General features: G+C 40.3%; 1 long non-coding RNA gene across 1 annotated transcript in view; it reads left to right on the top strand.

Moving 5' to 3' along the window:
* LOC100130207 (uncharacterized) overlaps nucleotides 1–27027 on the top strand; it is a 100062-nt gene extending 73035 nt beyond the window's left edge. The window contains exon 6 of the long non-coding RNA NR_149025.1: nucleotides 25380–27027. This is a non-coding gene — a long non-coding RNA (uncharacterized LOC100130207). The remainder of the gene's footprint in view (nucleotides 1–25379) is intronic.
* The last annotated feature ends 247 nt before the right edge of the window (nucleotides 27028–27274 follow it).

Raw genomic sequence — 27274 nt, 5'->3', positions numbered from 1 at the left:
TGTATCCTCTTGTCTGACTTCTAACCAAGTGGGTACTGGTTCTTATGTCTCATAAGCAGCTTTGTGACTTTGAACAAATCTTGTCTTTGCCAAAGTTGAGATGCTAATTTAATAGCTTTTCTCCTGATCCCACTGGGATGTTAGAGAAAGGAAGTAAAATATGTGTGAATTTTGTTTTAAAGGGGCCAAATATTTTTTAAAGTATTCTAACTTACCATTGGTGTGGTGCCAGAGGTAAGACTTCACCCTGTTTGTCGTTGTGGGAGGATGTACAATATGCTATTAAACATCAGGTGGCCAAGGTTTTGTCAGCCACACAGGTGATGTTTTAGGGCATCGTGTTTAGGTGATGTTTTATAATGGTATTTTCTCAGGCAGATAATAAATTATTAAACAATACATTGGAAGGGTTGCTTATCTGCCTAATACTGAACCAGGGACCTCCTACTTCCTTCTCTTCTGACATCTTCCTTTCCCACCATGCCACCATCATCATCCTAACAGATTAGTCCAGAGTTTCTCACCAGAGCGATGATCTCGATAGTTGTCTTTCCCAAGACACTCCAAATAAAGCCTTTTTGCTTTATCTGTCTTGCTGGTTTGGAAATTTAAGCTCCTCTCTATTTTCAAGGATGTCATTTAAATAATAACTGTTGTTAAAATCACCACACGTTCCTGTACATCACCACACCCATGAAGAGTCTCCTTCTCCCTTTTTTGTTTTGTCCTGTGATTAAAGACCCTTGCTCCATTGTAAGACAGACTTGGGTTTAAATTTAAGGTCTGCTGCTTACCAGCTGTATGTTCATGAGTAAGTTTTTAACCACCTAAGATTCAGTGTTCTTATTCTGTGACATAGGAATAATATGATAACCTCATAGGGTTATTGTAAGGCTTAAATCTAAAAAAGAAAAAAGCTTAAATAGAAAAGATAATGCTATGCAGCGCTTAGTACAGTGTGTGACCACGAGAAAGAGCTTTGTAGCTCTTAGTTGCCGTCATCTTGTCATTGATGCTGGTGACATTTGTATGTTGAAGAAGCTGTCCTGAGAATGGTAGTCTGGCTGTGACTTTAGAGTGATTACTGTGGCCTCACAAAAGAGGCTTCCCCCAGGGCACTCCTGCTGGGCCTTCAGTCAAGCTTCAGCTCAGCTGTCTGCCGACGCTTATAATCTGACACTCTGAGACTTTTTCCAGGAGGCCTTGAGACTTTTTCTTCCTGGGTCAGGATGCACAGAAGCTTCATCAGGAGATGAGCCTCTTAATATTCAAGGAGCTGATGAAATAAACTTTTTCTTGGAGTAAAAACTCAGCAAGAACCCCAGAACTCTCTACCTACCCACAAATAGCAGTTTCTAGAAGTACAGCTCTACACAAAAGGCTCCGTTTGGTCCATACTAACTTTGCTAGACCCTGCTAGTATCTCTCTTTGCTAATACTTTAGTGCTTCTGTATTCGACAAATTGCCACGTCAGAAACTCTTTTTTTTTTTTTTTGAGATGGAGTCTCACACTGTCACCTGGGCTGCAGTGCAGTGGCGCGATCTCGGCTCACTGCAACCTCCGCCTCCCAGGTTCAAGCGATTCTCCTGCCTCAGCCTCCCGAGTAGCTGGGATTACAGGTGCCCACCACCACGCCCAGCTAATTTTTTGTATTTTTAGTAGAGATGGGTTGTCACCATGTTGGCCAGGCTGGTCTTGAACTCCTGACCTCGTGATTCGCCTGGCTCGGCCTCCCAAAGTGCTGGAATTACAGGTGTGAGCCACCAAACCTGGCCCAGAAACTCTTAATCAATCTCCTCTTTACCACTAGACAAACCAGTTCTTTCTATCCCCTATGTCAAACATACTGCCTAATGCCCAGCTAATGCAGATTGTCCCCAGCTAATGGCCAGTTCTCTGTTTCATCTTGGTACTTCTGTTCCCACCAGTGCAGTTGATCACTTGCCAAGAGTCAGTTGTGCTGCTGCCCATATCTATTTATGCCAGTTTTATTTGTTATGTAATTACATGCTTTGATTAAATGTTTCATAAACTGATTTAATATAAGCACAAAAAGATAGCTGTTGATTCTATGAATGTTTTGGAAACAGTAGGGTTGAGTTGCTAAAAACGCTGCTGAATTAGATGTGGGTGAGATAACACTAAAAGCCTTAGGGGTGGAAGGAATCATAAAAACTCCAGAGTCCGCACTCAGATTGTTCCACAAAGGTCTTTACATTCTCACTTTGCTTTAAAGAAATAAACTTGTAAATCCCAGGAGACGGTGCATGTAAGTTTTTCCTGCAACAAAGACAATGTGAACTCTGACTACTGAACCAATTTAAAGTCAATCACACTACAAAGCCTTGGCATCAAAAGCTTAGAAGTGGATCCAGTTTATACGTTGTAAGTGACAATCAAAATTTAAGTTATGTATACATCATTTTATTTTTATTTTCTTTTATTTTTTAAGTTTTTTTTTCTTTTATTATTATACTTTAAGTTTTAGGGTACATGTGCACATTATGCAGGTTAGTTACATGTGCCATGCTGGTGCGCTGCACCCACTAACTTGTCATCTAGCATTAGGTATATCTCCCAGTGCTATCCCTCCCCACTCCCGCCACTCCACAATAGTCCCCAGAGTGTGATATTCCCCTTCCTGTGTGCATGTGATCTCATTGTTCAATTCCCACCTATGAGTGAGAATATGCGGTGTTTGGTTTTTTGTTCTTGTGATAGTTTACTGAGAATGATGATTTCCAATTTCACCCATGTCCCTACAAAGGACATGAACTCATCATTTTTTATGGCTGCATAGTATTCCATGGTGTATATGTGCCACATTTTCTTAATCCAGTCTATCATTGTCGGACATTTGGGTTGGCTCCAAGTCTTTGCTATTGTGAATAATGCCGCAATAAACATACGTGTGCATGTGTCTTTATAGCAGCATGATTTATAGTCCTTTGGGTATATACCCAGTAATGGGATGGCTGGGTCAAATGGTATTTCTAGTTCTAGATCCCTGAGGAATCGCCACACTGACTTCCACAATGGTTGAACTAGTTTACAGTCCCACCAACAGTGTCAAAGTGTTCCTATTTCTCCACATCCTCTCCAGCACCTGTTGTTTCCTGACTTTTTAATAATCACCATTCTAACTGGTGTGAGATGGTATCTCATTGTGGTTTTGATTTGCATTTCTCTGATGGCCAGTGATGATGAGTATTTTTTCATGTGTTTTTTGGCTGCATAAATGTCTTCTTGTGAGAAGTGTCTGTTCATGTCCTTTGCCCACTTTTTGTTGGGGTTGTTTGTTTTTTTCTTGTAAATGTGTTTGAGTTCATTGTAGATTCTGGATATTAGCCGTTTGTCAGATGAGTAGGTTGCGAAAATTTTCTCCCATTTTGTAGGTTGCCTGTTTACTCTGATGGTAGTTTCTTTTGCTGTGCAGAAGCTCTTTAGTTTAATTAGATCCCATTTGTCAATTTTGGCTTTTGTTGCCATTGCTTTTGGTGTTTTAGACATGAAGTCCTTGCCTGTGCCTATGTCCTGAATGGTAATGCCTAGGGTTTTTATGGTTTTAGGTCTAACATTTAAGTCTTTAATCCATCTTGAATTGATTTTTGTATAAGGTGTAAGGAAGGGATCCAGTTTCAGCTTTCTACATATGGCTAGCCAATTTTCCCAGCACCATTTATTAAATAGGGAATCTTTTCCCCATTGCTTGTTTTTCTCAGGTTTGTCAAAGATCAGATAGTTGTAGATATGTGGTGTTATTTCTGAGGGCTCTGTTCTGTTCTATTGATCTATATCTCTGTTTTGGTACCAGTACCATGCTGTTTTGGTTACTGTAGCCTTGTAGTATAGTTTGAAGTCAGGTAGTGTGATGCCTCCAGCTTTGTTCTTTTGGCTTAGGATTGACTTCGCGATGCGGGCTCTTTTTTGGTTCCATATGAACTTTAAAGTAGTTTTTTCCAGTTCTGTGAAGAAAGGCATTGGTAGCTTGATGGGGATGGCATTGAATCTGTAAATTACCTTGGGCAGTATGGCCATTTTCACGATATTGATTCTTCCTACCCATGAGCATGGAATGTTCTTCCATTTGTTTGTGTCCTCTTTTATTTCCTTGAGCAGTGGTTTGTAGTTCTCCTTGAAGAGGTCCTTCACATCCCTTGTAAGTTGGATTCCTAGGTATTTTATTCTCTTTGAAGCAATTGTGAATGGGAGTTCACTCATGATTTGACTCTCTGTTTGTCTGTTATTGGTGTATAAGAATGCTTGTGATTTTCGTACATTGATTTTGTATCCTGAGACTTTGCTGAAGTTGCTTATCAACTTAAGGAGATTTTGGGCTGAGACAATGGGGTTTTCTAGATATACAATCATGTCATCTGCAAACAGGGACAATTTGATTTCCTCTTTTCCTAATTGAATACCCTTTATTTCCTTCTCCGGCCTAATTGCCCTGGCCAGAACTTCCAACACTATGTTGAATAGGAGTGGTGAGAGAGGGCATCCCTGTCTTGTGCCAGTTTTCAAAGGGAATGCTTCCAGTTTTTGCCCATTCAGTATGCTATTGGCTGTGGGTTTGTCATAGATAGCTCTTATTATTTTGAAATACATCCCATCAATACCTAATTTATTGAGAGTTTTTAGCATGAAGGGTTGTTGAATTTTGTCAAAGGCCTTTTCTGCATCTATTGAGATAATCATGTGGTTTTTGTCTTTGATTCTGTTTATATGCTGGATTACATTTATTGATTTGCATATATTGAACCAGCCTTGCATCCCAGGGATGAAGCCCACTTGATCATGGTGGATAAGCTTTTTGATGTGCTGCTGGATTCGGTTTGCCAGTATTTTATTGAGGATTTTTGCATCAATGATCATCAAGGATATTGGTCTAAAATTCTCTTTTTTGGTTGTGTCTCTGCCCGGCTTTGGTATCAGAATGATGCTGGCCTCATCAAATGAGTTAGGGAGGATTCCCTCTTTTTCTATTGATTGGAATAGTTTCAGAAGGAATGGTACCAGTTCCTCCTTGTACCTCTGGTAGAATTTGGCTGTGAATCCATCTGGTCCTGGACTCTTTTTGGTTGGTAAGCTATTGATTATTGCCACAATTTCAGATCCTGTTGTTGGTCTATTCAGAGATTCAACTTCTTCCTGGTTTAGTCTTGGGAGGGTGTATGTGTCCAGGAATTTATCCATTTCTTCTAGATTTTCTAGTTTATTTGGGTAGAGGTGTTTGTAGTATTCTCTGATGGTAGTTTGTATTTCTGTGGGATTGGTGGCGATATCCCCTTTATCATTTTTTATTGCGTCTATTTGATTCTTCTCTCTTTTTTTCTTTATTAGTCTTGCTAGCGGTCTATCTATTTTGTTGATCCTTTCAAAAAACCAGCTCCTGGATTCATTAATTTTTTGAAGGGTTTTTTGTGTCTCTATTTCCTTCAGTTCTGCTCTAATTTTAGTTATTTCTTGCCTTCTGCTAGCTTTTGAATGTGTTTGCTCTTGCTTTTCTAGTTCTTTTAATTGTGATGTTAGGGTGTCAATTTTGGATCTTTCCTGCTTTCTCTTGTGGGCATTTAGTGCTATAAATTTCCCTCTACACACTGCTTTGAATGCATCCCAGAGATTCTGGTATGTTGTGTCTTTGTTCTTGTTGGTTTCAAAGAACATCTTTATCTCTGCCTTCATTTCGTTATGTACCCAGTAGTCATTCAGGAGCAGGTTGTTCAGTTTCCATGTAGTTGAGCGGTTTTGAGATTCTTAATCCTGAGTTCTAGTTTGATTGCACTGTGGTCTGAGAGATAGTTTGTTATAATTTCTGTTCTTTTACATTTGCTGAGGAGAGCTTTACTCCAAGTATGTGGTCAATTTTGGAATAGGTGTGGTGTGGTGCTGAAAAAAATGTATATTCTGTTGATTTGGGGTGGAGAGTTCTGTAGATGTCTATTAGGTCCACTTGGTGCAGAGCTGAGTTCAATTCTTGGGTATCCTTGTTGACTTTCCATCTTGTTGATCTGTCTAATGCTGACAGTGGGGTGTTAAAGTCTCCCATTATTAATGTGTGGGAGTCTAAGTCTCTTTGTAGGTCACTCAGGACTTGCTTTATGTATCTGGGTGCTCCTGTATTGGGTGCATATATATTTAGGATAGTTAGCTCTTCTTGTTGAATTGATCCCTTTACCATTATGTAATGGCCTTCTTTGTCTCTTTTGATCTTTGTTGGTTTAAGGTCTGTTTTATCAGAGACTAGGATTGCAACCCCTGCCTTTTTTTGTTTTCCATTTGCTTGGTAGATCTTCCTCCATCCTTTTATTTTGAGCCTATGTGTGTCTCTGCACGTGAGATGGGTTTCCTGAATACAGCACACTGATGGGTCTTGACTCTTTATCCAATTTGCCAGTCTGTGTCTTTTAATTGGAGCATTTAGTCCATTTACATTTAAAGTTAATATTGTTATGTGTGAATTTGATCCTGTCATTATGATGTTAGCTGGTGATTTTGCTCGTTAGTTGATGCAGTTTCTTCCTAGTCTCGATGGTCTTTACATTTTGGCATGATTTTGGGGCGGCTGTTACCGGTTGTTCCTTTCCATGTTTAGCGCTTCCTTGAGGAGCTCTTTTAGGGCAGGCCTGGTGGTGACAAAATCTCTCTGCATTTGCTTTCTGTAAAGTATTTTATTTCTCCTTCACTTATGAAGCTTAGTTTGGCTGGATATGAAATTCTGGGTTGAAAATTCTTTTCTTTAAGAATGTTGAATATTGGTCCCCACTCTCTTCTGGCTTGTAGGGTTTCTGCCAAGAGATCCGCTGTTAGTCTGATGGGCTTCCCTTTGAGGGTAACCCGACCTTTCTCTCTGGCTGCCCTGAACATTTTTTCCTTCATTTCAACTTTGGTGAATCTGACAATTATGTGTCTTGGAGTTGCTCTTTTCGAGGAGTATCTTTGTGGCGTTCTCTGTATTTCCTGAATCTGAACGTTGGCCTGCCTTGCTAGATTGGGGAAGTTCTCCTGGATAATATCCTGCAGAGTGTTTTCCAACTTGGTTCCATTCTCCCCATCACTTTCAGGTACACCAATCAGATGTAGATTTGGTCTTTTCACATAGTCCCATATTTCTTGGAGGCTTTGCTCATTTCTTTTTATTCTTTTTTCTCTAAACTTCCCTTCTGGCTTCATTTCATTCATTTCATCTTCCATTGCTGATACCCTTTCTTCCAGTTGATCGCGTCGGCTCCTGAGGCTTCTGCTTTCTTCACGTAGTTCTCGAGCCTTGGTCTTCAGCTCCATCAGCTCCTTTAAGCACTTCTCTGTATTGGTTATTCTAGTTATATATTCTTCTAAATATTTTTTCAAAGTTTTCAACTTCTTTGCCTTTGGTTTGAATGTCCTCCCGTAGCTCAGAGTAATTTGATCATCTGAAGCCTTCTTCTCTCAGCTCGTCAAAGTCATTCTCCGTCCAGCTTTGTTCCGTTGCTGTTGAGGAACTGCGTTCCTTTGGAGGAGGAGAGGCGCTCTGCGTTTTAGAGTTTCCAGTTTTTCTGTTCTGTTTTTTCCCCATCTTTGTGGTTTTATCTACTTTTGGTCTTTGATGATGGTGATGTACAGATGGGTTTTTGGTGTGGATGTCCTTTCTGTTTGTTAGTTTTCCTTCTAACAGACAGGACCCTCAGCTGCAGGTCTGTTGGAGTACCCTGCCGTGTGAGGTGTCAGTGTGCCTCTGTTGGGGGGTGCCTCCCAGTTAGGCTGCTCGGGGGTCAGGGACCCACTTGAGGAGGCAGTCTGCCTCTTCTCAGATCTCCAGCTGTGTACTGGGAGAACCACTGCTCTCTTCAAAGCTGTCAGACAGGGACATTTAAGTCTGCAGAGGTTACTGCTGTCTTTTTGTTTGTCTGTGCCCTGCCCCCAGAGGTGCAGCCTACAGAGGCAGGCAGGCCTCCTTGAGCTGTGGTGGGCTCCACCCAGTTGGAGCTTCCTGGCTGCTTTGTTTACCTAAGCGAGCCTGGGCAATGGCGGGCGCCCCTCCCCCAGCCTCGCTGCCACCTTGCAGTTTGATCTCAGACTGCTGTGCTAGCAATCAGCGAGACTCTGTGGTCATAGGACCCTCTGAGCCAGGTGCGGGATATAATCTCATGGTGCGCTGTTTTTTAAGCCCGTCGGAAAAGCACAGTATTCGGGTGGGAGTGGCCTGATTTTCCAGGGCCGTCCGTCACCCCTTTCTTTGACTAGGAAAGGGAACTCCCTGACCCCTTGCGCTTCCCGAGTGAGGCAATGCCTCGACCTGCTTCGGCTCGCGCACGGTGCGCGCACCCACTGACCTGCGCCCACTGTCTGGCACTCCCTAGTGAGATGAACCCGGTACCTCAGATGGAAATGCAGAAATCACCCATCTTCTGCCTCGCTCTCACTGGGAGCTGTAGACTGGAGCTGTTCCTATTCGGCCATCTTGGCTCCTCCCTGTATACATCATTTTAAAGGATTTTCCAATTTACCAGTAGTCTCCGTTAACTGACCTACTACCCATTTTGTCACACTGCATAACAACAGAGCATTTCTACTGCTTAAGGTGTCCCTTCCATGTTATCTGATGCACCAACTGTCCACAGCACAAGCTCTGTGGAGACTGGCCAATGGTGGCAGTGGCTTGTACAGGCAGGTTCACCATCTCTGACCTGGTCTCCTTTGAGCTTACCTGTAGGGCTGAGGGTGCAGCCTGTGGCTGAAGAATATACATGTGGATGCCTTTCTATATTAACTAATACTTTATGGATAATTTTTTATATACTGTTTTGTTGTATCTCCACATAGCCCCCTGGGAGGTAGGAATTATTATCACTGCTTTATAGATGGAGCTGCTGAGGTTCAGAGAGGGTAAATAACTTGGGCCCAGTCACACATCAGTTAGAGACATGGCTAAGGTGAGTCCTAGACTCTAAGTCCTGTTATTTTTCCATCAAGACTGATGTGCCTGGTGATTTGGGTGGTAACGTTGAGTGATCCACTTGGTGCTGAGATCCAGGCCCTGATGCCTTTAGCACTGAGTTTAACCAGCTTCATCTTCAGGTTCTCAATGGTTGGTCTAGATGTAGGTGGAGAACTTGATGCAAGATCGTTCTCTGAGTTTCCAAGTCAGGAATTCATCACAGGAGCACAGCTCCTGGCGAACCTCAATTCCTCTCCATTCTCCAGCTGGCTGTGCTGCAGGGAAGCTGTGAGTGAGTGGACACACTAAAAAATTCAAAGTGAGCCACCAGAGAAGAGGGAAATGCTGTTGGCAGCACATGTCATTTGCAGTGTTGCAACACCTGCTCGTTTTGAAAAGAGTCTGTCAGAATTTCCATATTCCCCCTATTCATTGGGAAAGTCATTTGGCGAACTCTAGTCCCTCTGGTCTACAATTTGGGATATGGTATGTCAGCTTAGCTAACATTGCTTTATCATGAAAATTATTGTTGATCATTTTGGGTTAGTATTGAACCAAATACACCTGCTTGTTTTTTGTTCCCTGGTCTACTTGGGAAAAAGCACAAGAGAAAGAACCTGACTTTTGATTAAAATCAGGGAAGAAGCAAAGCACTTGACAGTTTAAATTAACATTTTGTAAAATTTTGTCTGTGATCCACACTATTGGAATCACTTAAGTGGCTTATTAACCACACACATTTCTGGGCTTTACCCTGAATATGCTCAGTCAGACCTGGTAGAAGTGGAACCTGGGATCACAAGTCTGAGAGTCACTAGTTTAAATGAGTTAGATGGAGCAATAAACACCTGTATCAGTTTCCAACAGCTGCTCTAACAAAATACCACAAACCCGGTGACTGAAAACCACAGAAATTAGGATGGGTGTGGCGGCTCGCACCTGTAATCCCAGCACTTTGGGAGGCCAAGGCAGGTGGATCACCTGAAGTCAGGAGTTTGAGACCAGCCTGGCCAACATGGCGAAACTCTGTCTCTACTAAAAATACAAATACAAAAATCAGCTGGATGTGGTGGCCGGTGCCTATAATCCCAGCTACTCTGGAGGCTGAGGTGGGAGAATCACTTGAACCCAGGAAGTGGAGGTTGCAGTGAGCCGAGATCATGCCACTGCACTCCAGCCTGGGCAATAAAACGAGACTATCTCAAAAAAAAAAAAAAAAAAAAAAAAAAAACACATGCAAGAAATTAATTTTCTTACAGTTCTGGAGGCCAGATATTTGAAATCAAGGTGTTGGCAGGGCCATCCTCTTTCTGAGGACTCCAGGGGCTGTTGTGTGCCTTTCTCTTAGTTTCTGATGTTGCTAACAACCCTTGATGTTCTTTGACTTGTAGATTAATAACTTCAATCTCTACCTCCATCTTTGCAGTGTTCTCCCTGTATGTCTGTGTGTCTCTTCTCCTCTTCGTATAAGGATACCAGTCTGATCGAACACACCCTCATCTTACTTTGAATACATTTGCAAAGACCCTTTTTCCAAATAAGGTCACATTCACAGGTACTGAGGGCTGGGCTTAAACCTGTCTTTTTTGGGGACACAATTCAACCCATAAAAACATTTTCTGTGAGGACCTTTATATCAATGAAAATTGTACATATTTACATCCTAATGTGAAAATTTAGCAGGATTTATGAGAAATAAGCATTCAACTCAAACTGGAGATATTACTTTTTATTTCATGATAGCCACTTGAAATTCTGAAACCTTATTTACAGTGTGCATTTAGTCATGAAACCTCTTTCACTTAAAGAACTCTTAAATTTCTTATTTTAAAAAATAATTTTTCTACTAATCAGAAAATAGTGGTGAATTTCTCCATTTTGCAACTTATCCTAAACACATGATTTAATTGCCAAGCTCTCCCACTTATTCATTCAGAAATATGTATTACACCATCCCTTATATTCCAGGCACTGTTTTAGGTTTTGAAGATACAAAAGCAAAAAAGTCACAAGTCCTTAGCATTGAAGGATTTGCATTCCAGTGGTGGGGACTGAGAAATGCATTAGATATTACACACACTGTGGTGGCAAGTATTATGATCAAAGTAAAGAAAACTTGGCAGTTGGGGGAGGTAAGAGGATGGGCAAGGAAGGCTTCCTGGAGGGGCTACATTTTAGTAGAGGTTTGAAGGAAAAGTAGAGATTTGCCAAGCAAAGAGGATAGGAAGGGTGGAACAAAAGACAGCTAGTCTATCTGGAAAACCTGCAGGTGTTCGTCAAGGTGGAGCAAAAGGAATGGTGAGCTGGCGATGGGAGATGGAAGGGTTGATGGGTCTACTATGGACTGAATGTGTCCCCCCGAAATTCATTTATGGAAGTCCTAACCCCCAGTGTGATGGTATTGGAGGTGGGGCCTGTGGGAGATCCTTAGAACTAGATAGGTCTTGAAGGTGGGGCCTTTATGATAGAATTAATACTCTTCTAAAAAGAGGAAGAAACATAAGAGCTTGCTCTCTCTCTCTCTTCAAGCATATACACCAAGGAAAGGGCCCTGTGAGTGCACAGTGAGAAGGTGACCATTTACAAGTGCTAGGACCTGAATGTTTATATCCCTCCCCAATTCATATAATGAAATCCTAAACCCCAATGTGGTGCTATTAGGAGGTGGGGCATTTTGGAGGTGGTTAGATCATGAGGGTGGAGCTCTTATGAATGGGATGAGTGCCCTTATAAAAAGATTTGGAGGGAGGGGGCATTCCCTTTGCTCTTTCTACCATGGGAGGACACAGAAGATGGCCATTTGCAGAAGAAGGCCATCACCAGAACCCAATCATGCTGGCACCCTAATCTTGGACCTCACATCCTCTAGAACTGTGAGAAAGAAATTTCTGTTGTTTATAAGCTAGCCTGTCAATGACGTTTTGTTTCGACAGCACAAATGGACTAAGACAAAAGCTAGGAAGTGGGTCCTCACCAGAAACCAAATCTGCACCTTAATTTTGGACTTCCAGGCCTCTGGAACTATGAGAAATAAATGTCTGTTGCGTAAGCCCCTAAGTCTATAATTTGTTTATTGTTGTTGTTTTTGTTGTTAGAGCTAAGATAGTAATGGACCGTTCAGAGCCTGTGTCTACTGGATGATTTGCCCAAGTTTTTCTCTGAAACAGAGTTTGCTAAAAGTTGAACAGTATTCAATGCAAAAACCTATTAGAGAAAGTAAGTAATACCAGTACTTTCTGGTAAAGTAGTTTCTAAACAATGCATATTACTGCACGTTTCTTTCGTATAGATTCACAGGTCTTTCCCTATCAAAGACTCTAAAATACCCTGCAGAAAAGAAGCCCATTTTAATGCAACTTAGCATTTTTCCAAACTTCTCTGATAGTGGAACTCCATTATGTAACTGTGACTCGAAGAGTTTTCTTGTCCTGCATTGGAATAGGCTGAGGGGATGGGGCTGGAGCTGGATAAGGGAACCTGGGTAGAAACTCCTCCAAAGTGGCTCAGAAACAATCCCTTCTTAGTCTCAAGTGTGAAGTTTTATAATGTTGCTGCTCTGAGTTAGCAAATAAGACAGGAATAAAAGGAATATCAAAGAAAATTGTATTAAGGGATATAAAAGATCCTAAGGTTAGGGATGCTTTTTTTTTTGATAAATAAGATTTTAAATTAAAAACAAATCATTGTAAGGTAATATATGTTCATGGGCTTAAAAAATTTAAAATAATATCTAAGTGTATAAAGTAAAATAGAAACAATTTTTTTCATATTTATTTATAAATTAGATCATGCTCTAATCCCTGTTTTCCAAGTTGTTGTTTCACTTAACTATATATTTTAACTATGTTTTTACATAGAACATCATCACATTTTGTTGCATACTTTAAGTAATTTATCCACATCCTTAAAGATTTTAGAATTACTTATGTTTGGTTGTTTCAAATAGTGCTGCAGTAACTATCCTTAGGCATGTATCTTTGATACCTGTGTGACTAGTTGCTGGAAGTAGAAGTCCTGTGTTAGATGCAAGGCAAAGATTGCTAGTTGCCCCTCAATATTCATTCTTTCCTTTTTCTTTCACAATATAACCTCACATTTATTTCAGGGAGCAGAGCAGTCAGCTAAAAGACTACATTTCCCAGATTCCCTTGTAGCTAGGTATGGCCATGTGACTTACTTTTAACCAATGAAATTTGATCTCAAGTGTTATTTAATTTTTTTTAAGCAGTCTCCTTACTAGTTAAAGAGCAAACTTTTCTTCATTCCTTCCTTTTTCATGCTAACTGGACTTGGGAAGCTGTGGTGAATCATGGGGTGACATGCTAAGGTCACAGGGGAACAGCAAGACTAACAGAGCCTGGGCTCCTGAAAACTTTGAGCCACCATAGTATCCCTGGAGTATTTGACTCTGGATTTCTTTTACAAAAAGAGAACTAAGTTTCTATATTGTTTCAGCTACTACAAAAAGTTTTCCCTGTTACACACTGTCACATGAAATCCTAACTTATTCAAATGAAATATATATTGAAATATTTGAAAATAATATCTAAATGTCCTGAAAGGGAGCTGTACCTGTAGAAACTCTCATCTGCAATGAATGAGATTGCCTGAAAGAAAGTAAAATTCATTACAAATAATGCAGTCTTTATCATTTTTATTCAAAAGAATTTTAAGGGTTTTCAGGACCACTGTTTTAAGCTTTCAAATATCCATAAATCAACAGCATTCAGTAGAGACGAAGTAGAGTCATACAAACCTGTGTTGAAATCTTGACTTGGCCACTGAACAGCTGTGTGGCTGTTACCCTGAGCTAGTTTATAATCTTTTAGAGCCTCAATTTCCTAATTTGTAAAATGGGGTTAATAACAGTAACTCCTTGGGTAATTATGAGGAGTGAATAAGATAATGCATGTAACATGCTTAGCCTGGATAACATACTCCACAAACGTTAGCCGTTGTATGTAATAAACAAATTAATTATCTGCTTTTGTGAGTTATTGTGTGGGAGACAAGTATGGATGGCACAGTGCCTAAGATCAAGTAGCTCAATAGACTAGTTGGGATCACAAATACTGTAACCACTACAGTGAAGAAAGCAGGAATCCCAAAAGAGAAAAATACACAATCACAGGAATGAAGGGAGGGGAAGATTACTTCTGTTTAGGGGCACAGTGTAAAGAAAATCATTGCAAAGCCTTTGAAGGATGGGGGAGATTCCAGCTGCCAGAAATATCAGAGGACTTCTTTGTAAACCAGCCAGCATGGCAGCAGCAAGAAGTTGGGATGGGAAGGCATGGGTTAGCTGGTGAGGCAGGTGGCTGCAGAGCAAGGAACATGCAGGGAAAACGCAGGGAGCCACAGCAGAAAGGTGAGGCCAGATCCTAAAAGGCTCTCACTGAACAGCTTGAATGGGTCTCTAATGCACTGGAGGATCACTGAAGGGCTTCAGCATGCGTGTGAGGGCAGAGAGGCGAGCAGAGGTGTGCTGTGCGAAAGTCCACCTGGCACTGGGGTGCAGCATGGATTCAACAGAAGCAAAACAGGAGGGGGTGATGGAAATTAATAGGATCACGTCTCTGCACAGAGCATCCATCAGATAATTTTTTTCTGATTACCATTTGGGGAAACCAAGAGGCAGAGCAGCCCTATGTCTTCCAAGATTGATAAATGAGTCAGTAACGAAACCATTGGCAAGTTGCTTTTGATTCCTTTTCCTTATCCACAGGGCAAGTTTGTCTCTTAGCAACACATTTTGAACTTGGCAGCACTCAAAGCTCTCTGTGAATGAATAAAGCAAAATGGAGGCAAATGTGAAAGTTATTTTGATGTGAGAAAGTGTAGATGCTGGGCCTGTGTATGCTGGGCATGTGCCGGATCCCTAAATCACAGGGAGCCCGTGAAACGTATAGTAGGAGACTCAGCACTCAGTAAATCGAAAGTTCCCTTCTCCCTGCAGTTGGAAATAGGACATGGTTTTAAAATACATAAATTAGGCACTTATAGAGGATTGCCTACTTTTTGTTACTATAGAAAAGGACAGTCTGATATGAGAGGTGACTTTTCAAAGGATATAAAGAATACCTGTAAAGCTAAAATTTAAGCAGAATCACCACTGCATCAGCCCCATCATGTCCCTTGGTATGTGGGCTTGATGCATCTTGAAGGCCTGCCCTGTGTCTTTGTAATCAATAGGTCCATTGCTTATTGTTTTATTATATACAGGTAACTTTTTAATACCTTATATTCTTATTCATTTAACACATTGATTGAAAACTTGCTATGTTCTGGACAGAGTTTTTAGGCCCTTGAAGTATTTTAGGCATGAATTTGACATGGGGAGATTTGTTTTGAAACAGGATGAAGAAAAGAGAAAAACTGTGGATAGAAGAGCAATGGCAAGGGCCTTCTTGCACCTGTCCAGCTAAGACATTATCAGAGCCTGCATACTTTTCTATTGTGCGTAACAAATTGTCACAAACTTAGCAGCTTACAGCAACACACATTTATTACCTTACAGTTTCTGTGGATCAGAAGTCCAGGAATGACTTAGCTGGGTTCTCACTGAGGTTGTTTCAGGGTCTTTCACAAGGCTGCAATCAAGGTGTCGGCTGGGTTGCATTGTCTTCTGGGGCTTGACTGGAGAAGAATCTGTTTCCAAGCTCTCACAAGTTATTGGCAGAATTTACCTGCTTATTTATTTTGCAACTGTAGTGCTAAGAGCTGCCCTCAGCTCCTGCAGGGGATTGGCAGGGTGGCTTGTTTCCCTGCCACGCAGTCCTCTCCATAGGCAGTTTATTATCTTTCAGCTCACCTTTTTAGGCCAGCAGTGCAGAGACTTGAAGTAAGTCTGGCAAGGAATCTTATAAAATGTGAGCACAGGAGAGACCTATTTTGATATATACTCTTTGTTAGAAGCAAGTCACAGGTCCACCTTCCCACATACACTCAAGGGGAGAAGATTACACAAAAAGATTACCATAGCATGTGGAGACTAGTTGGGGTCAGCTTACCGTTGTTAAAGTAGGTTCTTCACCAGGCCTGAAGAATCTCTGAGCAGACAAAGCCAGTGCCCTTAACTCTGATTACATTGCAAACGTAAGTGAAACATAATTTGAGCTCTTTCTTGTAAATGTCTGTATTAAAGAAAGGCAGAACTTAAGCTCAACCAATCAGGAGCAGTGAACAAACTTTTGTAAATAGAGACTTTCGAACAGGATAGACCAAGTAAGGCAACCGTATAACTATAACCAGTCAAATATTTTCTTTGCTTTACTTCTGCATTTGTCGTATAAAGCCTCCTCCTTGAGTTCCTTCAGCGGATCCCCTAAACCACTTCTGGTTTGGAGCTACCCAATTCATAAATCCTTATTTGCTCAAATAAACCCTTTAAAACTTTATTGCTCCTCTGTTTACTTTTTAACAGAGTCTGTCCACCACAGAGGGCATTGGAATTAGAAGACAATTATTTAAATTAAGCTTGGAATATATTTTATTTAACTTTCTATCCTTATTGCCCTGCACATAGTAACTAATGGAAAATATCAACTTGATTGGGCTTCTTTCTTTGCTGATTGGATGTGAGGAGTGAGGAAGGAGTAAGTGAAGAGGAAGCGTTAAACACGACCTTGGGGTTTCTACTCAGGATTAACTGGATGCTGATGCCATTAACAAGGACAGGAAAACAAGTGAAAGAAATGTCAAAGTTTAGAGATATAATAGGTTAACTTTCAGATACTAGGTGAAGGAATCTTACAGAGCTTCTTAAACCTTAATGGGATATGGGCCACTTGGGAATTGTATTTGAATGATTCTGATTCAACAAGGTTGAGGGGAGGCCTGCTATATCTATTTATAACAAGTTCTCAGGGATGCCACTGGAGTCTCACTTTGAGTAGCAAGGCTCAAGAACAATGGGTTTCAAACATTTTTGCTTCTGAACTACCTAAAGAAGTTTGGAAATCTACTCTCTTGCACATCTCTAAGTTTACAGCTGTTATTTTTAATTGTGTTTAAACAGTTACAAAGGATAATTTCTAGCCTGTTGTAGTGACAACATATCTTAAATAACACAGTTATATCCTTCTGTATTAGTTCATTTTCACTCTTCTATAAAGAAATACCTGAGAATGGGTAATTTGTAAAGGAAAGAGGTTTAATTGATACACAATTCCACATGACTGGGGAGGCCTCAGGAGACTTATAATCATGGCAGAAGGTGAAGCAAACATATCCTTCTTCACAAGGCAGCAGGAGAGAGAAGTAAGGAGTGAAGGGGAAAGGGCCCCTTATAAAACCATCAGATCTCATGAGAACTCACTCACTGTCATGAGAACAGCAAGGGGAAACTTCCCCCATGATGTAATCACCCCCAAAAGGTCCCTACTCCAACCCGTGGGGATTACATTTTGGATTACAATTCAAAATGAGATTTGGGTGGGGACACAGAGTCAGAACATATCACTCTCTTTTAAATGAATCCATGCGCCTATGAAACATAGTGATTTGATTTCCATTATCATCTATTTAAAATACACTCGAACAAGCACAATATACTTGTATTTAAAATATAGTTGAACAAGTTTTTCTTACACAGCCAAAAAAAAATACATCATTCCTTTTACTCATATTTCTTTCTATGTTTCCCACAAAATTTTATCCTAAAGTGATAGATGTTTGTGTTGAAAGTTTTTTTTCTTTTTTTTTTTTTATTATACTTTAAGTTTTAGGGTACATGTGCACAACGTGCGGGTTAGTTACATATACCTAATGTTAAATGACGAGTTAATGGGTGCAGCACACCAACATGGCACGTGTGTTGAAAGTTTTTTAGTATTCTGTCTACTTCGCTACCATAAAAGTATGCATATAAATTGAAATTTTAAAAGGATCAAAGTTTTTTTAAGGCCGTAAGGTCCAAATGTTAAAAAACTTTCTTCTGGATTAAGTTGTTTGTTTCAATTAGTTGACAACTGGTCAAAATAACACCTAATACACATTTCAATAAATACTAAATATAAAATAATTATATTGGAAATCTTTATATTCGAATCTCTTAATTAGATGATTGAGGCTGGTTTCCTTTTTAATTAGCTCATGTATTAATAAAGATTACTTATTGTTGGAATGAGAGATGATGCAGCATCAATTCTCTGTCATTTTTCTGTTTGTTTGTTTTTTTCTTTTTAAGGGCAATGTTACTCAAGTCTATGAATGCCTTTACAGATATCTGCTAAAAAACCACGTAATACTTTATCATCAAACTAATTTTTAGTGATGTGTTAGTGGTCATGTTTATTAAATTCTTCATGTTTGTTGAAAGCAAAGAATTGGAGATTGCCAAATTGATCTTACAAAGGTAAGATCAGGATAGATGAGACTTAAGCTTTTCTTTTGTTAAAATGGAGAAAAAGGGGTCGTTGGGAGGGTGGAAAGAATATTGCATAATGCTGACTACAAGCACTTTCTCAGGCAGATAGGTTAGGCAAAAAGCACGTGTAGGATCTGGAAATGTCTTCCCTTGAAACTATTTGTGCTCACATACCCTTTGGAATGTCTGTACATTGAAATGTCAGAGGGCAGGGATATCCCAGTTTGGAGATTGCTGCAGTAGAGAATTGAAAATGTGTAAAGCTCAGGGAAGGGGCTGGCCTGAGGGTAAAATTAGGGGATAGGCAGACAGAAATTTAGGCACATTAAAACCTTCATTGCACAGACCTTATGAATTCAGAATTTTGGAGGTAGAGTCTGGATGGAAGGGAATTTTGTCCTATATATGAAAAGAAGAAAAGTGGTTAGCAAATGACATTGCAGAACAGGCTTATAGGGAAAGGGGTCTTGATCCAGATCCCAAGAGAGGGTTCTTGGATCTCACATAAGAAATAATTCAGGGTGAGTCCACAGTGTAAAGCAAAAGCAAGTTTATTTATTAAGAAAGTGAAATGGTGAAAAAAAAGCTACTCCATAGACAGAGTAGGGCATTCCTGAAAGTGAGAGGAGGAATGTGTTCACCTTGGGTACAGTGTTTGTTTACATAGAGGATAAAAAAAGATCATGGGGAAATGCATTATGTTACAAGGGTTTGTGATAAAGGATTAATTTCCTTAATTACTATATTTTGCAAGAATCAATATTATTTTTAAAGCAAAATTAGGAGTGCTTCTGTTCTCAAGATATCAGGATATCAGGACACTCTTAAGTCTGGGTCTGTTTAGTAAATGTTATCGATCTGTTCCCTTAACTGCACACATTTAGAGGCTAGGAATACCTCACTTGTTGGGAATGCAGCCCAGCAAGCCCTAGCTTCATTTTACCCAGCCTCTATTTAAGACGGAGTTTTTCTGGTTCAAACACATCTGACAGAAGCACACAAAGTACCTTCAAACCCTTTAGGACATTCATGTGTACATACATAATTGATAAATGACTATAAGCCTCCCTTATCTATTTGTTAGAGTTGGTTCTCCGCTCAGCAACACTTCCTCAGCTTAGTTCTAGTTACTCAGTGTAGACAGTGTGCCTGGGGTAGTAAAACCTCATTACCTTAAAAACAGAAAGGAAATGAAATTTGACCCTTTCCTTCAATCTACCTGTCCCTCTCTTGCTACATCTGCTACATTTATGTAGGTGTTTAGAAGTTTCTTTCAACATCAAGGTATCTTGATTGTACAAATTGGTCATCCTTTGTGGTTATATAAAATAGACTGAGTCACACTTTTCTTTTTTACTTTTACTTTGAACAGATCCTTGGAAAGACCTACCCAGATCTGCGTATTTTTGTAGGGATGACAGGTAGGAGAGCGAGGGTGAGAACTTCTACTCCCAAATTGGTATGGGAGCTCTCCTTTGTTTGCATCTTGCTCAAAGCATTGATAAGGAAATGCTATAATCCAAGGCTGGGGAATGGCTGCTTTAGTGGAACAAGCACAAGGAAAACAACTACAGGGGTGCCAGCCACATTCTAAAGCTAAATCATCATTCTCGGAAAGAAAGTCTTATCTGTCTCCCACATCCCCAGGTCTATTTTGTGCCCACCTCTGTCATTTCTTTGTGCTTTTCCCTTTCTGAGCAGCAGGCTTTTGCCTGCCCTATTGGTATCTATCTATGATCAAATACCTTGTGACATTTAAGCTTAAGCAGCAAGATACTCCTGAGAACAACTATGGTTCGATATTTTCCATAGAACTAATAATAATTCTGCTGCCTTAGAAACTATAAAGAGCAACTGATGCCTCATGGAAAATGTAGAGGAGATTGAATTTTTTCAGTAGAGTCACGGGGCTAGAAGAGACCTTTCTATGTTCCTATGAATCCATCCTGGGTATTTTCTTCCCCCTCACTCCACTCCCACTTTCATGAGAAAGTTACAGGAGGCATAATAAAAGGTTCTAGATTCTGGCCTATACATTTGTTATATCTCCTCCCCCCCCACTTCTGTCCTATTTCTCCTCTTCTGACCTAATACTCATGTGCACCCTTCCCGTTTAAATAGGTTAGAGGTGATGCCCACACTCTGAAGCAGCAAGTCAGCAGGGAGAATAACTGGGATCAAAACTCCACTTCACTGCAGAATTTAAATGCAGAAAAGCAAAGCTGCTTTTGCCTAATACATCTTTTATCTTTTCTTCATCTGCCAAAGCATGCTTGGCATTAAGTAAGAGCTTAATTCTTAAAATTGGATGCAGAATTTTGCACGTTACTGCATTTTTCTCCCTAGCTTTCATCAGAACCTTGAAGAGAGAAATTTCTCCCCAAAGATAAAGAACTGCTAATGTGATGGGCTGTTTTTACTCTGTGACATCGAGTGACTCTTGGGATTGCCCTCATGAAGTGAATTCAGGGCACCTCCAACACCTAATCTTTGGATATTTGACAACTTCAGCTAAATAAAGACCAAAGTTTGCCCTCTGCCTATGTTCCATTGGAAAAACTGTCCTCTTTAGCTCTAGACAATTTCAATTGTTTTTTTGTTTGTTTGTTTGTTTGTTTTTGTTTGTTTGTAAAAAATCAAGTGGAGATCATGAGAATATTTTTTCAAGGTCTGCTATGTAACTGGAAAATCTTGTCTATATAATCTGATACTGATTCACTAGTATCTAAATACTACATCTCCCCCAGCATTTATTAGGTCCTTGCTGTATGTCAGGCACTATGCTAAGTGCTTCATGAGCATTATGTTGCTTAATTCTTTTAATAACCCTACTAGGTAGGCATGATGACCATTCCCATTTTGGATATTGGGATATTGGCACAGAGAGGTCAGGATCTTTCTTATAGTCACACAGCTGATATATGATAAAGCCCACACTTACACCCAGACAACATGTTCATGGAACCCGGGCTCTGGTTTATTGAGCTGTTCCTGTCATCAGCTGTTCCTGGATGACATCCATAATGGTATGATGAACCTAGCAAGTGAATGAGAAAACAGAGATATATCCTTAGAAGCCTGGCCTCGGAGAGGGAGCACTGGGTTGGGATCCTGGTGTCAGAGGCATTTGAATCAGAGCAACTGCATCTTGAATAGGAGCTGGGTAAAATAAGGCTGGGACCTACTGGGCTGCATTCCCAGATGGTTAGGCATTGTAAGTCACAGGATGAGATAGGAGGTCAGCACAAGATACAGGTCATAAAGACCTTGCTGATAAAACAGATTGTATTAAAGAAGCCAGCTAAAACCTACCAAAATTAAGATGGCCACAAGAGTGACCTCTGGTCGTCCTCACTGCTATGCTTCCACCAGCGCCATGACAGTTTACAAATGCCATCATAATGTTAGGAAGTTACCCTATATGGTCTAAAAAGGGGGAGCATGAATAATCCATCCTTTGATTAGCATATAATCAAGAAATAACCATAAAAATAGGCAACCAGCAGCCCTCGTGTCTGTTCTGTCTAGGGAGTAGCCATTATTTTATTCCTTTACTTTCTTAATACACTTGCTTTAATTTTACTCTGTGGACTGACCCTAAATTATTTCTTGCACAAAATCTAAGAACCCTCTCTTGGTGTCTGGATGGGGACCCCTGTCTGGTAACACTGGGAGTCTGTTTCCCAATATCCCCTTGGTCATCTACATCCAGGGTAATATTAGGATAGTTATTTACTATTTCTCTGCCGGTTCCTCTAAAACATGGAAAGTTATTATTTAAAAAATTTATTTTTTATTATTCAAGTTAAAGAATAGATACCAAGAGCTTGGATGAAGGAAATAATGATGATAGTAATGATACCAATATCAATGCATCCGTAGATTCAGAGTAAAGGCCTGAATGCAGAAAAGCCTCAGGTTTCCTTTGTGGAAAAGATCCCTTTGTCAGCATTACTTTGAGCATGGTTCTTATTGTCAATAAGTGAATTCCAGTCTTTTCTTTAGGGATCTCCTATTACTCTCTCTCTCTCTCTCCCCCTCCCCCAACCCCCTTCATTTCTTTCCCCCTCATCCTTCTCCCTCCCTCTCCTTCCTCCCTTTGCCCCTCTCCTTCCCTCTTTCCCCTCCTTTCTTTCCCTCCCCCGCTCCCCTGTCTTGGATTACAAAGACAGCACTGTGCCTGGGAGAGTGCCGAAGGGGTGCAGTGGGAGATGAGAATAAGGCCAAATAAGTTTTAACAAACTCAGTCTCTTTTTGCAGCTGCTGTTTGGAAAGCAGGCTTCCTGCCATTCTGGGGCTGAACCTGCCAAATGCCTTATCCTGGGCTGAGCCCCAGGACCTCAGCTACAGACTACTTTCTATGGCATTTCCAAATGCAGTCCCTCAGCTGTGCTGCAGGCAATAAATATCTCTTTCTGTAATAGGGAAATGGGCCCACGAAATCTATCTGTTCATCCTTCCGCGCCTCCACTGGGCTGCCTCTTTATTTTTCACCAAAATTGCATTATTGCTCTTTAAGATATAATCTGCAGAAATTTCTCAAGTGCCTGTGTCAAAGTTCTGTTAGAATATTCTCAAATTCTCCAAGGGAAGAATCAATAGAAAATTGTAGTCAGATGACTGATTAGCAAGATAGTATAGAAGATACATATTTTTTTCCCTAGAGACTGTAGCCTGCTCGACTCACATCACTTAAATTTCCTAGCCCCTTATTATTAAAGATAGTAACTCCAGGTCTTAAGGTTAGAAAAGCTAAATTTATTTTCTTACCATTAAAAGATAGAACTAGGACCACTATATAAAAGTAATTTGATGTGTCAGATAAACCAAATGATGATAGCAATAACAATATGAACTATTATCATTTATTCATACATATTTTGTGGGCCAGGCTAAATGTATGAAATTTCTATCTCTATATCATCTCATTCAATGTTCACAAAAAGGCTTGCAAAATATTGTTAGCTGACTTTTAAAAGTAAGAAAACCAAAACTAAGATACTTTAGCCTTTATGTTTTCTTCCTCATATTCTACATCTTAAGTTTAGATGCTGAAAAGTAGACATTCTCATATACTGTTGGTAGGAGTGTAAATGCGACTGTAGATAATTTTGCAATGAATCAAAATTGAATGTAAGTATAACATATATTATAACCTTTTTCAAAAAATGGACTATATATAGCCATATTTATGCATGTGTATTTTTATATGTGTGTGTATATAAAAACAGCAATTACATTTATTTTTTCTTTGGGCAAACATTATGGAAGGATATGCATGGTTGTCTCTAAGGAATGACCCTGGAAATGGAGTAGAAAAAGAGGGCTTTTGTTGGTAACTTTATAGTCATCTGAACTTTTAATATATTACTTTTTGCCAAAATTATATATTACATTTACAGTATAAAAAACTAGTTTAAAATGAAATGAAAATAAGCATAATCTTTGACTCAGCCATTATATTATTTGGAGTGTATCCCAGGGAATAACTAGACAATTGTATACAAGTATGAATAGAAGGGTATTGATACGGTTTGGATCTCTGTCCCCACCCAAATCTCATGTTCAATTGTAATCCCCAATGTTGGAAGTGGTGCCTGGTGATTGGATCATGGGGGGTGGATCCTTCATGAATGGTTTAGCACCATCACTTTGGTGCTGTTCTCGTAATAGAGTTCTCATGAGATCTGGTTGTTTAAAAGTGTGTGGCACCTCCCAACTCTCTCTCTTCCTCCTGCTCCAGCCATGTAAGATGTGCCTGCTTCCCCTTTGCTTTCTGCCATGTCTGAAAGTTTCCTGAGGCCTCCCCAGAAAAGCTGCTATGCTTCCTGTACAGTGTGCAGAGCCATGAGCCAGTTAAACCTCTTTCCTTATAAATGACCCAGTCTCAGGTATTTCTTTCTAGCAGTGCAAGAGCTAATACAGGTATTCATTGCACTATCATTAGAGACATCACACTATCTATTAACAGATATCCAGTTAAATAAAATATGGTACATTCATACAATGGAATGCTATCACACAGATTTTAGAAATAAACAAATAGATCTGTGCATATTGGAATCAACTTCTCTACAGGCAGAGGCCACCAGGAATACATCTATAGTTGAACCAGTGGGTTGATTACTCATTGTAGTGAGAGAGAATGATTCCATGGGGGACTGTGGGTTATGTGAGTAAGAGGGTGTCCGAAAGAACTTGACCAGGTTTTTATTTTAAAACGGTTCCTTTGTCAATTGTGAGGAGAGGCATGGTAGGGCTTAAGAGTTGGTTCATGGAGGCTGGGAAGGTGATGGTTGTGTTAAGTGCAAGTGAGGGTGCCTTGTAGTATGGTGATGGCCTTGGGGGTGGTAATAAAGGGATTCATTGGGTAGATATACAGAAGTTAGTATAGCACTCTTTAAAAAATTACAAACTGTATCCGTTACTCTGCCTACTGGACAGAAAATGTATATACAGAAATCTTGGGAGGAAATAATGAGAGCATCTTATGGAAAACCCAGCCTTAGTACAGCAGAAGTTACCCAAGGTTGGTGGCATTATCATCTTATCCGACATATTATACCAGTCCCCAAACTGCATCTCTGCCCCTCCCTTCCACATCCATATACAGAAGACACCACTGATTGATCAGCGTTCCCAAATGAACCCCTTTGAGCCCCATTTCCTCACATAGAAAATGGGGATAGTAATAGTTCCTAGTGCCTAGAGTTGTTCTGAAAATTAAATGAAACTGTGCATATAAAGTGGTAAGCACCAAATGGGTATTAGCAGTTGTTATCGTTGCTATTATTATTATTATTTTTAATGTGTAGGGGTTTGAGCCAAGTACAGGGCCTTCTGCATGTACCAGATTCAGAGACAAACCACTGATTGATCAACGTTTCCCATATCAAGCAGCCTCTAAGCAGCCTGTAAGAACTGTTCCAAGCCCCTAAGAACACGTTCCAAGCAGCCTTTAAGAACTGTTCAGGATGATCATGGATGAAAATGTCTATCTGCCGCTTTGCTTAATTAGGGGAGTGATTATTTCACAAGTGCTCTTACTGATTAAGTAGATTTCCTATGGCTTCATCTCTCTCCCCTGCACCAGGCGATCTGAGCACCTGATGGCAGAACTGGAAGAGGTGAAAGAAAACCCCAGGGACACTCTGGACATGTTCTGTATTATTTGGATCCAGACTGGTCTGAATTTATCAAAAGAGATTAACATGATATAAACCAAGAGGGAAATGAAGAAACGAAGCATGTTCATTTTGGATTGAAGAAAAGTTTGTCATTATAATGTATCTTCAGATTTGGTTGCCGTGCAGGGCAATTTACTGTTCTTTTGATCTTTTTCTCTGTTTAAAAAGACATGGACTAGGCGAGGAATGGAGCAGGTGAAGCACCGCTGACATTATTAGTGTGCGTGTGAACCTCTGATATGCTAATAGGCAAAGTGGGTGGAATGGAATTGCTCTTAAATAAGTAAAAAACTTAACATTCAATTACCTTTAAAAATGGGCATAATTTGGAGGGTTTCATTTAACACACTGCAGGTAAAATCTAATTTTGTTTTTCTAAACTTTCCTTTGCTAATGCAAGGCAGGAGAGTTTTGTGTGTGTTTAAATAGACCAAAGTCTCACTGGGGAGAGTCAGAGGTCTGGGATTCTCATATTTTGGAGATAGTAATTTGATTTTCCTAGGATCCTTTTTTTTTTTTTTTTTTAGCAGAAAAATGTGGTAACAGTGTCATCCAGTCACAGCCATGGAGACGACCCAGTAGGGATTCATAGAATTTTGCAAATGCTCCTCTGTCCCGTGAGATGAAATTCCTTTCCCATCCAAAGTACCCACCCAAAGAGAAAACTATCCTAGGACTTTTGCTTCTTCCAGAAATTACTTCAGACATCTCCCCCTTTCAGACTCTCTCTCTTTCCCCTGCTGTTTCATTTCCTCTGGTTGTAGTAATGTAGAAACCCTTTGTGTCGTGCAGGGGCTAAGAGCGTGCTCTCTGAAGCCACGCAGCCTCCCAGACAGTCTAGACACTGCTGTTGATGAACTGTACCATCTTGATTATTTCACTGAACCCCTTTGAGGTTTTCCTCACATAGAAAATGGGGATAGTAATAGTTCCTACTGCCTAGTGTTGTTTTGAAGATTAAATGAAACTGTGCATGTAAAGTGGTAAGCACCAAATGGTGTTAGCAGTTGTTATTGTTGCTATTATTATTACTATTACTTTTAACTTGTAGGTGTTTGAGCCAAGCCCAGGGCCTCCTGCATGTGCCAGCTTCAGTAGCTGCACCAGCAGTCCCCATTGGGCACTGTGGCAGTGGTGGTGATGGAGGAGGAGGTGGTGGTAAAGAGGGGAACAAGTGGATTAAGCAGAGGGAGGTGAGGCAGGAGGAAGGCATGATGGGAGGGTAATATGGTTAGGCTTTGTATCCCTACCCAAATCTCATCTTGAATTGTAATTCCCAGGTGGTTAGGGAGAGACTGGTGGGAAGTGATTGGATTATGGGGGCAGTTTCCTACACGCTGTTCTCATCTCGTGGTAGTGAGTGAGTTCTCGCTAGATCTGATGATTTTATAAGGGGCTCTTCCCGCTTCAATCCTCATACTCTCTCTCCTGCCGCCATGTGAGGGAAGGTCTTAGCTTGCTTCTCCTTTGCCTTCTGCCATGATTGTAAATTTCCTGAGGCCTCCGCAGCCATGTGGAACTGTGAGTCAATTAAACCTCTTTCCTTTATAAATTACCCAGTCTCAGATATGTCTTTATAACAGTGTGAAAACTAATACAAAGGGAGAGGCTGGAAGAGCACCTAGAATCAGGAAGCATCACACATTGAAACTGTGATCACTGAATCCATGAATCAGAGAGCTTTCTTATCCAAGGTGCAATGTCAGTGTTGAATAATAACTGATAATATGAAATTTTCTTTTAATGCCTAATCACGCTTGAAACATAATGTGACAAGGAGCTTTCACCCTTGGCATTTAGA

Source organism: Homo sapiens, chromosome 3 (assembly GCF_000001405.40).
Source record: "Homo sapiens chromosome 3, GRCh38.p14 Primary Assembly".
In the NCBI taxonomy this organism is placed as follows: domain Eukaryota; kingdom Metazoa; phylum Chordata; class Mammalia; order Primates; family Hominidae; genus Homo; species Homo sapiens.
Note: the sequence above shows the minus strand (reverse complement) of the source record. Positions and strands in the feature narration are given on the sequence as shown.